This window comes from Homo sapiens, chromosome 16 (assembly GCF_000001405.40).
Source record: "Homo sapiens chromosome 16, GRCh38.p14 Primary Assembly".
Lineage (NCBI taxonomy): Eukaryota > Metazoa > Chordata > Mammalia > Primates > Hominidae > Homo > Homo sapiens.
Genome location: NC_000016.10, coordinates 51,053,698 through 51,066,677, shown reverse-complemented (window position 1 = coordinate 51,066,677; position 12,980 = coordinate 51,053,698). Strand labels below are relative to the sequence as shown.

Sequence of the window (12,980 nt, the reverse complement as noted above, 5' to 3'; positions counted from 1 at the left end):
ATGCCCATAACCTCAACACGTAGGGCACTTCCATAATCTAAGGTTCAAAAAGAGCCTCAGATGATATTATTATTGTTGTTGTTATTATTATTATTTTTCGCACCTCTTGTTTAGCCTCTAGCTGGACCCTCCCAAGCCCTGGTCTTTTTCCCAATATCAAAGTCTATACCTTTTTCTTTCCCCGCCATGATCTCACCATTGGCAGAATTGGGATTTGTACACAAGTCTGTCTACTTTGAAGGCTTTGAAGGCCCATTGGGCTAAAGAGAATCTTCAAGTGCTAATAAGAAACAATAAGAGGTACCGTAGGTGAGGTTTCTCTCTCAGGCCAGCCACTTCCAGAGGGCAGCCGGGGCTCCCCCAGGTTAATTCCACCCTGATGAAACGTGTCCTCCTGGAAGCAGAACACTGCTCTGGGAGAGGGAGTCTGAGGGGAATGAGAAAGAATCTCTTTTTTTTTTTTTTTTCTTTTTTTTGAGACTGAGTCTCGCTCTGTCACCCAGGCTAGAGTACAGTGGCGCAATCTCGGCTCACTGCAAGCTCCGCCTCCCTGGTTCACGCCATTCTCCTGCCTCAGCCTCCAGAGTAGCTGGGACCACAGGAGCCCACCACCACACCCGGCTAATGTTTTGTATTTTTAGTAGACACGGGGTTTCACCGTGTTAGCCAGGATGGTCTCGATCTCCTGACCTCCTGATCCACCCGCCTCGGCCTCCCAAAGTGGTGGGATTACAGGCCTGAGCCCCCGCGCCGGGCCTAGAAAGAATCTCTTTCAGGACACAACATCCTAGCTCCTTTTGATTTTCTCTGTCTGGAATACACCCACCCTTTTTTTTCAGTAGGTATACGTAGGGTATGGATTCTCTGTGGTAAGCTTTCTTTTCCAGTCTGAAAATATCTTTGCCTTTTTCTCATAAAAAGTAAATGTATGGCCTAATTTTAGAAAAATAAGAAATATAGGCTGGGTGCAGTAGCTCACTCCTGTAATACCAACGCTTTAGGAGGGGAGGATCGCTTGTGTCCCGGAGTTCGTGATTAGCCTGGGCAACACAGTGAGACCCCATTTCTAAAAAAAAAAATTTTTTTTTTTAAATTAGCTGGGCATGGTATTGCTCACCTGTAGTCCCAGCTACTCAGGAGGCTGAGGTGGGAGGATTGCTTGATCTTGGGAGTTTGAGGCTGCAGTGAACTATGATTGCGCCACTGCAATCCAGCCTGGGTGACAGAATGAAACCCTGTCTCTGAAAGAAAGAAAGAAAGAAAGAAAATAAGAAATATAGATAAGTAGGCCAGGCATGGAGGCACACACCTGTAGTCTACTTGGTAGGTTGAGGTTGGGAGGGTCACTTGAGCCTGGGAGGTCAAGGTAGCAGTGACCAGAGATTGTGCCACTGCACTCCAGCCTGGGCGACAGAGTGAGACCCTGCCTCAAAAAAGAAGAAAAAAGAAGACAGCCATAAAAAAGAATGAGTTCATGTCCTTTGCAGGGACATGGATGAAGCTGGAAGCCATCATTCTCAGCAAACTAACACAGGAACAGAAAACCAAACACCAAATGTTCTCATTCATAAGTGGGAGTCGAATAATGAGAACACATGGACACAGGGAGGGGAACATCATACACCGGGGCCTGTTGGTGAGTGGGGTGAGGGGACGGAGAACATTAGGACAAATACCTAATGCATGTGGGGCTTAAAAACTAGATGACGGGGGGTTGACAGGTGCAGCAAACCACCATGGCACATGTATACCTATGTAACAAACCTGCATGCTCTGCACATGTATCCCAGAACTTAAAGTAAAATAGAAAAAGAAATAGAGATAATTAAAATGAAGAAATAAATACAATTCATTATCTCACCACATACGGAGGAAAACAACTGGCTATGTGTGCACGAGCACAGATGTGTGTGTGTGTGTGTGTGTTTTACCTGCTACTGCATTTAATAAGAGAAAATATGACATGCAGTGATTTCAATTTCACCCCTTCTTAACCTCAGATTTCCTACCTATAAAATAGGGCAAGTAATAATGCCTTTCTTACATGATTTTTGTGATTGCTGAATGAAACAAGTTGGTAAAGGACTTAGCAGAGTGGCTGCATGTAATAGCACTCAATAAATATTATTTATACTTTTTAGTATTATTACTAACACCATAACATAAACATTCCTTAGTGCTATTAAGTATCCTTGCATAGCATCACTTTAGCACAATTTTATTGTTTTTCATTATGCAAGCAAATATGCTTACTTATAAAACTAGAGATAAACAAAATGATAAACAATAAACCATCTGTAATCTTGCTGATGAAGAAATAACTACTGTTAATTATTTTTTTCTTTGAGACAGAGTCTCACTCTGTCGACCAGGCTAGAGGTACAGCGATGCCATCACGGCTCACTGCAGTCTTGACTTCCTGGGCTCAAGCCATCCTCCCACCTCAGCCTCCTGAGTAGCTGGGACTACAGGTGCATGTCACTAGTCCAGGTTAATTTTCAAATTTTTATATAGAGAGGGGGTCTCACTATGTTGCCCAGGCTGGTCTCGAACTCCTGGGCTCAAGCAATCTTCCCACCTTGGCCTTCCAAACTGTGGTGATTACAGGCATAAGCCACCATGCCCGGCCACGACTATTAAATTTTAATATATATATTTCCAACCTCATTGCATGTTTATATATAAAACAGACATATAATGAGGCTGGAAACATGTATATATGTGTGTGTGTGTGTGTGTATGTATATCACAATATATAAAGTTTTATACATAAAATAGATATAAATGCATATATAATACATCTGAGCCCATGTGCATGTTATTATATTACTTACTTTTTTTGTCTTAAAAGTATATTGTGAATATTATCTCATGCAATTATAGGATTTTCTACACATGAAAAATTCCAATGACTAAATAATAGTCCATGGACTAGAATTAACATAAAATACTGAGCCAACTCCCTGTTGCAGACGTTTATGCTGGTCCCAATCTTTTGCTTTTGTAAACAACGTTGCAGTGAACAGCTCTGTAACCAAATCTTTGGGTTACACATCTTGTTAGACTAAATTCCTTGAATTGGGCTTTCTGCGTCAAAGCATTTGCAGATCTTTAAGGCTGTCAATGAAGAAGCACCAGGTGCTCTCAGGAGACGTGGCATGGCACCGTAAGGTGATGATATTGGTGCATGAGCTCAGGGATTCCTCTGCTGCTCTGCAGCATATTTTGAATCCCAGCCTGGTTACTGTATTATGCATCGTGCTTCTGGGCCACTAACCCTCATGGTCAGCTGAAGAGTAATCAGCAAATGCCTGCTCCCTTTTGTGTGTGTGTTAGTCTAAGGATAGCAGAGGGCATACTTGAAAGAAATAAATGATTAGGATCGACAATGGAAAGGTAAACAGAATCATATTTCATGAGATTCCCCATTGTTCTTTTCTGACTTGCATTCTATAATCATAAAGCAGGCATAATCGGCTATTCAATTCAACAGATTCTTATTGAACACGTACTTTGTCTAAGTCTGGGGAGAGAGGTGTGAAAAAGTAATACTGAATATTTGTACAGTGTTCACACTTGACAAAGTGCTTTCATATGCCTTGGGGGAAAAAAAAACCCGGAGCTAAGACTCAGGAGACCTGATTTCTAGAACTGTCCCTGCCATTTAACTGACGTATGACTCCAGGCCAATCTCTCTGTTTCTTGTAAATACCAGGCTAAGAATCCATGCCTTTTCTGTTGTACAGGGGTTGAGTGATGCTCGTGTGAGGTGTTATAAATGCTCCACAAATTTACAGAATTCCAGAAACTTCAAAATGGACAGTGGTATTTAAAATGTTTTTCAGTTAGCCCTAACCTGAAAAAGACCTCGGAGATCATTTAGGGCAGTGACTTTCCTAGCTGTGTTCTGGGGAGCACATGGGTGCTGTGGGGACCAAGGGGATGGAGGTTGAACAGGCAGAGCATGGCTCTCTGCTGCCCACCCAAACCTGGCCCCAGAACCAGGCTGTTCATGTGTAGTTCTGGGCAAGTTCCTTAAACCCCTCTGCAGTCTCATCAGCTTTCCTATCTGTAATATGGACACGGGGCTGTTGTGAAGCTTAGTGAAGTTAATAAGTATACAGTGGTTGGGACCATGGAAGGCACATAGCTAATATTGCTGTTATTTTATGGTCCACTTTGGGTTTTTTTCCTAGGGTCAAGTTTCACTGAAAGTAATGTTTGAAAAAAAAATCACTGACTTCTCTAACTTCTTTATTTTACAGATGGAAAATTTACAGCCCAGAGAAGCCAGTGTTCAAATGCACACTGAGAATCTAGCAAAAGCGCCCACAGACGTCCTCCTCCTCCTCCTTGGCATCATCATCATTGCAATCCTCTATAAATTGCAGCACCCATCACCAGCCCCTGGTGGCTACTCACTCACCTGCTGGTAAATAACAGGACACGTGTGATGACTGGTTTATGTGCTATTTCTGGGGCTTATGAGCGGCCTCAGAAGACCTCACCATCTACGTATTGAACAGCAAAGCTCTTGTAATTGAGAAACCAATATCCTCTCTGACAGCACTCATGTTTCCAAATGCCCAACAGATATTAACCTTTGAGATCTAGGGACAAGAACTTGGAATTCCTCAAATCATAAGTTATTCTTAAAATGCTTTGAACATTCTTCATACTCTTTTCTTTAGTAATTATCACAAATATCTAAAAACGTTGATGGATATATAAGAAATAGTAAGTTGAATAGGATCTACTGAGAGCTTTACAAAGAATTTATTAAAAAATATTTGCCTCTAGCAAATATTTAAATCCTGGAAAGTGCCAGTGAACATTACTGGGTAATATTTGAATAATGTGACATTCAGTTCTCCTAGCAAGGTTGAAAACACTACACAGATTCAAGAAGTTGCCACAGAACTTACTTTGCTTCCAACCTTGTAATTTCTTGGAACTCCACCCACAGGACTTGAATAAAGTATACTATACATATAAATACATTAATATTTTATTTTCTTTGCAAGAATGGCTCACATTAGCAGCCTACAGGACCACAAACACACAACTGCAAACAAGCCTGAGTAGGCGATGACTGATTTGCTCCTATGTACTCTGGTCCTGGTTCCTGGAAATGTCTTCAGCTTGGGCTTCATGTGTCAGTGCCTCCTGTTCTGGCTTTCTGCTTGACATCACTAGATTCCTTCCAACAAGTAATGCCTGCATATTGATTGCTAAGCTGTCATTCTCATGGGGGAATTAGAATATTTTTCTCATTTTCTCAGTTCCTTGACTAATTATCCTCAGAAGTTGGAAAAACATAAATTTCCCGAGAAATGCTGGAAAGGAATTCCCACATGGAAGCACTGCTTGGTACCACCGCCTCAGCCCCACTAGGCAGAGCTGGAAAAATTCCTTTTGTGTTGCTGTGTCATGCATTACTGAGGGTTTCAGGTGAAGGATGAATGAAGGCATGTGCGCCAGGCCAGGGACCTGGTTCTAGTGCTGAGTCTGCCATGAACTCACCTGTGGCTTGTGGAACCAGTTGTAAAACCAGAGGAGGGTGTACACACAGAAGAGGTGTACAATTGTTTCAAGGCTGGGGAAAGCATTCCAAAGGGGACCTACTCCAGCTGATCTCAGGACGGCAAATGGCAAGTGTGAGTATGTGCTCTTTGCCCCTCACCCGAACAGACAGTGTTCTAAGACACCTGCCCTCAGCCCCTGGATGCCATCTGCTATGTAAATGTACTTCCAAGCTAACAGGAGACCTTGTCGTAAGGTGTTAATTCACTTTAGTTTAATATCTGCAAAGGGTAGAATCATTTCTTTAATGATATAGGTAAATATTTCCAACGGGTGTGTGCGTGTGTGTGTGTGTGTGTGTGTGTGTGTGTGTGTGTTTCTTCCTCCCTCCCTCCCTCCTTCTCCCTTCCTCCCTCCCTCCCTTCCTTCCCTTTTTTACTCACTCTCCCAAGTCAAAGTATCCAAAAGCTCATGGCTGGATCTTCAACAGGACTTAAGGTTGCTTCCTCCCTGTGACTTGTGTGTCTGTTTCATGACCTCTCCTGTAAGTCACAGCCCCTGCTCTGAAGGTATTTTCTGCCTACTTGGAAAAACAAAACACAAACTTGGAAGAGAGGAAGGAAAATAAAGAAAATTGAGATTATAGACCATGTGTTTTGTACAACCACAGTTACTATAAGTGTTTGGAGAGGAAGGAGCTGGTTGCGAGCCAGAGTAGCCCAGGAAGGCTTCTGGGAGGAGTGGTAGTTGAGGTAGGGCTTGCAGGATATGTAGAGTTTGAAAAGGTAGCAGAGTAACGAAGAGGCATCCCAGGGAAAGGAGCAGCCTGGCAAAAAGGGGAGGAGGAGACTGACTGCGTTTAAGAGACGGGCACACTTTGGGGAAGAAGAGAGTCAGGTCAGGGTGGACCAAAGAAACCAGATGTTATTAATAATATCCCAAGGATAGTAATGGATTGGTTTGTTTGTTGGTTGGTTGGTTGATTATTTTTACTAGAATCTTTAAACTATAAAAGTAACACATGGAAGAAAATTCAAATAATTCAGAAGGGTATAGAGCGAGAAACGAAGGCTCCCCCACTTACCTCTCAGACTCCCAGTCCTAACCAGTGTTCTCTGTGAGCCTTACACAAGCACAGTGATAAATGAATACTCACTTTCTTTTTAAGCAAACACGGTCACATCAAACATACTTTGTTGCTACATGCACTTTTAAAATAAGAAACAAAATTTTAACATTTAGACCTTTTTCTGTTTCCACAGATTGCTCCTTGCCCTTATATTTAACTATCCCACGGTATTTTGTTGCATTGACATACCAGAAAATGTTTACCTGCCCTTTATGAAAAATCCAGTGGCATTGCTTAGAATTCTTTTTATTATTAAAAGCACAGCAATTGCTTCCCTTTGTCAAGTGGAGTGGTTGAGTCACATTATACATACATTTAAAATTTTGAAGGCCATTGTCAAATGACCCTCCAAAGAGATTTTACCAGCCAGATTTTCATTTCCATCTACAGTATGGGAAAATGTTTCTTTCCATCTATGGAAGGCACACTAGTCAAGAGGCAGGAGTGGGTGTCAGTGAGCCTGAAATGCATTATTTCTCCTTAATCTCATTGCTGCAGGACCTTAGGAAATGTATTTAACCAACCTCTTCATATCTCCGTTTGCTCATTTTAAAATGAGGATAAAAGTAGTGTTTATATCATAAGGTCAGTTTAAGTATTCAATGAGATGATGATACACCTAAATACTGAATTTGTGCCTTACACACAGCAAGAACTGAACAAATGGAACCTTGTTATTTATTTATTTATTTACTTTTTATTTCCATAGGCTTTTGGAAAACACGTGGTATTTGGTTACATGAGTCAGTTCTTTAGTGGTGATTTGTGAGATTTTGGTGCACCCATCATTCAAGCAGTACACAATGAACCCAATTTGTAGCCTTTTATCCCTCACCTCCTTCCCACTCTTTCCTTTCCAGTCCCCAAGGTCTGTTGTATCATTTTTATGCCTTTGCATCCTCATAGCTTAGCTCCCACTTATGAGAACATATGATGTTTGGTTTTCCATTCCTGAGTTACTTCACTTAAAATAATGGTTTCCAATCTTATCCAGATCACTGAGAATGCCATTAATTCTTTCCTTTTAATGGTTGAGTAGTATTCCATTGTGTGATACACACACACACACACACACACACACACACACACACACAGTTTCTTTATCCACTCATTGATTGATGGCGATTTGGGCTGGTTCCATGTTTTTGCAATTGTGAACTGTGCTGCCATAAACATGCTTGTGCAAGTATCTTTTTCATACAATGGCTTCTTTTCTTCTGGGCAAACTTTGATAGAAGACTCCATTGATGTTCTGATCCTATACCCTTTTAACTTTATCATTTCAGGGCATGCTGTCCAATGTCCAACTTCCCACTGTCAGCACCTGCAGGTCTTTGTCTTAAGTTTTGCTGGCTGTCCAGGGCTCACTGCAGGCCAAAAGGCTGGGGAGTTAATCAGCAGCCTCCCTCAGCAGCCTTTGACGAGTGTGTGACGGGAGCTGGTGTGTAAGTACCTCAGCTCTCTCTCCCTCAGAACCCGTAACTCTGACTGTTCCCTTCCCCTCCCCAGTCCCTTGTGGAATTAAGCTCTAGTGACAAAGGTAACTTGATTAATTTCTTCCCTTCCCTTCCCTTCCCTCTCTCCCTCCCCATTCTGCTCCTGGATTTCCTGGGATTCCTCCCAAATCAACCACTTCTACTAAAACATCTCAGAGTCTGCTTCTGGGGGTTCCAAATTAGACCAAATTTTAAAACTTTGCCCATTTGCTTTAAAAATACAATGTTTTAATTTTCATTACTTTCATTGTGAATAAGATTGGATTTATTTTCCTATGTCACTGGCCAAATGCGTTGCTTTTCTCTGCTATCTGCCTGTTCCTGTACTTTGCTCATTTATCTATTGGGCTGTTTGTCTTTTCCTTATTGATTTGTAAGAGCTCTTTGTAAATAATAAAAATTAGCCCTTTGTCTATTATGTGATGCTGTTTCCCACATTGCTGCTTGCCTTCTGACTTTGTTTAGGACTTTCTTTCTCTCTCTCTTTATTTTTGGCCATACAGAAGTTTAAAATTTTAATGTAATCAAAGAGAAGATCGGGTTTAAAATCACTGCTTCTTTCTATTTATTTTCTGCTTGGATTTAGTTCTTCCCATAAATGATGAATAGAACTCTAAGATGAGAAGGAGCCCTGTCAGAGTGCTCTTCTGTATACAGACAACTATATACATACATACATATATATATATATATATATATATATAAAATATAAAATTACACACATACACACACAGTGACGTTCACTGCTAATCTCTCTTTCCTGGAAATTATCCATGTGTGACTGCAGAAATTCTCTGTTCTCTGTGCATTTCTTTCTTGTTTCATAAACCGAGGTTTGCAGCATCAATATGCTTTTGTGTTACAGCCCGGTCTGGATGGAAGAAGTCCACCTGCATTTAACACCAGTTGTACAGAATTCTCAGTTCTCCTGTGTGCAACTGCTCAGAGTTAAGTATTCAGAATAATCAACTGCATATTTAAAGTTCTATCCATCTCTCTTCTTTAGATCTTAAGAGCTAAGGTTTGTTTTCTCTCTCCGTTCGTTGTATCCTACAGAATGCCTGCAGCCCTGGTTTGGGCTGTTTGGTTGGTGCTGTACATCTAGACCTGCCTTTTCCTGGCTTAGCTGTGTCTGGGAGTTAGTCTAAGCTGCAGGGATGGGTGGGGAGAGGGCTTCACTGCACTCAGGCTGTGGATGGAACTAGCAGCTTCGGCTGGAAGGCTCGAGGGTGGTTCAGGGCATGGATTATTGGACTCTCTCTCTGCTCCATGACCAAGTGTCCCCCTTGGCTGCTGACATTTGCATGGGTGTGGGGTAGAGGGAGGTTGCTCTTTAACCATTTCATGTCCACTGTAGTGTAGGTAACGCTAGCACATGCTGCAAGTGAGGATGCCAAACTTGCTATTTCCCACAACTTCTCTAGGTCTCCAAATACAACTAAGGAATAGAAAGGCATTTCTTTCTGTTCCTTGACAATGTCTAGCTTATTCTCATCTCGGCGTATCTACTTGCCCTCCCCCACTCACATTATTTTAGTCTTTACTCAAATGTTCCTTCTCAGAGTGACAATCCCAGCCCACCCCATCTAGAGAAACCACCTCTCCCGCCAACCATGCTCTATCATTTTACTACTTTATTATTAGTATTTTTTGCAAAGCATTGATCTCTACTGTGAACTGTGGTATGTATTGGTGTGCTTGTTTCTTGTAACCTGTCTCCTGGAATGTCCTCTCGGTGAAGGTACAGGCTTTGTCCCAGACGCTAACACCTGACAGATACACAAGGGGTGCTCCAAATGATACTAAACAGGATTCTTCCTCTGAAATGGAGGGGCCTAGGATGGATAGGGGGAATCAGTGCTGACTCCTCAGCTGGGGATGGCCTGGCACCCTCTCACAGGCTTCATGGTGATGGTGCCCACAGAACAGACACCTCTCATTCTCCAAAGAGGACTGAGGACCCAGTCTAGACTTCGTCCAGGGTGTCATTTATGTTTACAATTCCTAAAGGGAAATGACTAACCCTGTGATGTCAAAAAGAACTTGAAGCCTGCTCTAGGAGGTGGAGCTAAAAGAAAAACACTGAGTTGCTAGAAAGGAAGGAGGAAAGTCATTTGGAGAAGGGACAGGAGCTTAAGAAGGTACTGTTTGAAAGAGAAGGAGATTCCACGGTAAGGGCCCCCCAAATGCCCAAGAAGAAGGGGTGAACAGCCTTTCAGACACCTATAAAACTTTCCAATGCATGGTCCAGTTGACATATGGCCAGGAAAGGACATGTACAACTTAAAGGGAACAGTCTCCTGGGCATAAGCTATTACTTTTCAAAGCAGCCTAGAGAAAGAAATTGCATCGTGTTATTCTCATTCTCTCCCTCAATGTCTTTCCCTCTGAATTTCAATCTCTCTCTCTCTCTCTGTATGTCTCTCTGTCTCCATCCTTGTCTGTCCTACCCTTGTCCTGGAGCTCTCTATGTTCTCTGTGTGTTTTCTGATGTCTGCCTCTCTTCCCTTCTGAGATCCTTTTCTGATGGATGTGTGAACGGATGGTTTTGCATGCAAGCTCATCAGCAGTCACTTGAGTGGATTCCGTAAAAACTTTCTGAAACCAAATCAAATGAAAACCAACCCATAAACTGGGGAAAACAAAAGGGCCCTTTGGACTTGAAAAGGTTAGAGAAGACTGCAGGAGCTGCACACACCGTTCGATCGCGTTCGAAGCTGGGGTTTTAATTTAGTTTTCCTATTTACCCCGTTGAAGTTCCTCACTGCTCAACTGCTAATGCATTTCCAACTGAAATTTTGTAAATTATATTGGGAAACATTCTCAGCTAGAGTAGATTGTGCAAGCTCTCATAATGGCTTCCTGCTGCTGTGTCTGGCAATATAAGGCTCTTTGGGAGCAATGTGTATGTGGACGCACATCTTTAAGAACTCTTTCCACTTTATCCCCCTTGGCCGGAGGCTCTGCACTCTCGGTGCCTGACTGTGAGCAGATCTGGACTTTCCATCAGCCCTAAAAGCAGGATCTTGGCACTTCTCCTTTTCCAACTTGACAGGATACCCCCTCAACCTTTTCTTGTTCATCTTTAATAAAATCACTCCCCCAACGAGTTTATGAGCTCTTCTAAAGTGTAGCCCATGCCTCTGCACTAAACCCTCCCAAGGCACCCTGCTGCCTACAAAGTAAAATCCTGGAGGTTTGGTTTTTAGCAAGCCATGTAAGATTACCCCAAATTTCAACCCCAATCTATTTTCCTAACAACGTATTCCATTCCTCTTCTTCATGGATAAAATACATCTCATTGCTTGCACCCCTCTCTGTTTTCATCCTAGACAAAAGCCTCATCTCTCACCTGGACAAGTGTGCAGCCTCCTACCTAGCTTCTGCACCTAATCTCTGCCCCTACCCCTAACACACACACAGTTCACCTTGCGAAGGACAGTCCATGATAAGGACTCTGGAATGCCCAAGAGGAAAGGGTGAAGAGACTTGTAGACCCCCGATATGGTTTGGCTGTGTCCCCACCCAAATCTCATCTTGAATTGTAGCTCCCACAATTCCCATGTGTCATCGGAGGGACCAGGAGGGAGGTAATTGAATCATGGGGGCGGCTCTTTCCTGTGCTGTTCTCATGATAGTGAATAAGCCTCATGAGATCTGCTGGTTTTATAAGGGGGAGTTTCCCTACACCAGTTCTCTCTTGTCTGCTGCCATGTAAAACACACCTTTTGCCTTCTGCCATGATTGTGAGGCCTCCCCAGCCACGTGGAACTGTGAGTCTATTAAACCTCTTTTTCCTTATAAATTACCCAGTCTCAAGTAAGTCTTATCAGCAGCATGAAAACAATCTAATACAAGCTCCTTCCTGTGATTTGCCAGGCTCTCCTAAGCTGCTTTTCTCAAACGCGCCAAGCTCATTCCTCCCACCCATCCAGGGCCTCTCATTTGCTGCTCCCTCTGCCCGGAACCCTCTTTCCTTAGGCAGCATGGAAACATCTACCTTAATGCATTTGCTCTCTGCTCAAATGTCATCTCAAGAGATCTCCCTGCCCACCTGACTTATGGTGTAAAAGTATGGGCCAGGCACAGTGGCTCATGCCTGTAATCCCAACACTTTGGGAGAACAAGGCGGGCAGATCACCTGAGGTTGGTTGACCAACATGGAGCAACCCTGTCTCTACTAAAAATACAAAATTAGCAGGGCGTGGTGGTGCTTGCCTGTAATCCCAGCTACTCGGGAGGCTGAGGCAGGAGAATCACTTGAACCCAGGAGGCAGAGGTTGCAATGAGCTGAGATGGTGCCATTGCACTCTAGCCTGGGCAACAAGAATGAAACTCTGTCTCAAAAAAAAAAAAAAAAAAAGTACGTATTTATTGTTGTCTCTCCCCATGTGGGAAAAAGTGCCCCTCTAGATCCATCCTTCCCTTCTCCCTGTTAGTAATAAAACCCCCAAGTTTTATCTGTGCAGACAGCCACCCAGCTAAAGACTACATTTCCCAGATTCCCTTGCAGCTAAATGTGACCATGTGACTAAGATCATACTAATGGGATGTGAGCAGAATTGACTTGTGTGCAGCCCTCAGGTCAGGCCCTTGAAGGATACTGCCTGCCCTACACTGTCCTCTTTTCAGCTTTGATCATGTGGTTGACAGAATGCTGGGAGCTGGCAGAGCAGGGTGGAAGAAACCTGAGCCCCTGGATGACTTGTGGAACAAAGCCACCTGCCCCTCAGATAGCCAACCAACGTAGGCTCTCAGTGAGAAAGAAATAAACCTGTCTTGCTAAAGCATCATTACTTATTTTCTGTGAATGCACCTGAGCTAATGTAGGA

At 43.0% G+C, this 12,980-nt stretch overlaps 1 long non-coding RNA gene across 1 annotated transcript; it reads left to right on the top strand.

Annotated features, from left to right (window-relative positions):
* The first annotated feature begins 5,317 nt into the window (after positions 1 to 5,317).
* LOC107984887 (uncharacterized) lies at positions 5,318 to 12,511 on the top strand. The gene is made up of 3 exons (XR_001752177.2): positions 5,318 to 5,657; positions 7,939 to 8,097; positions 9,014 to 12,511. It is a non-coding gene; the product is annotated as an uncharacterized LOC107984887 (long non-coding RNA).
* The last annotated feature ends 469 nt before the right edge of the window (positions 12,512 to 12,980 follow it).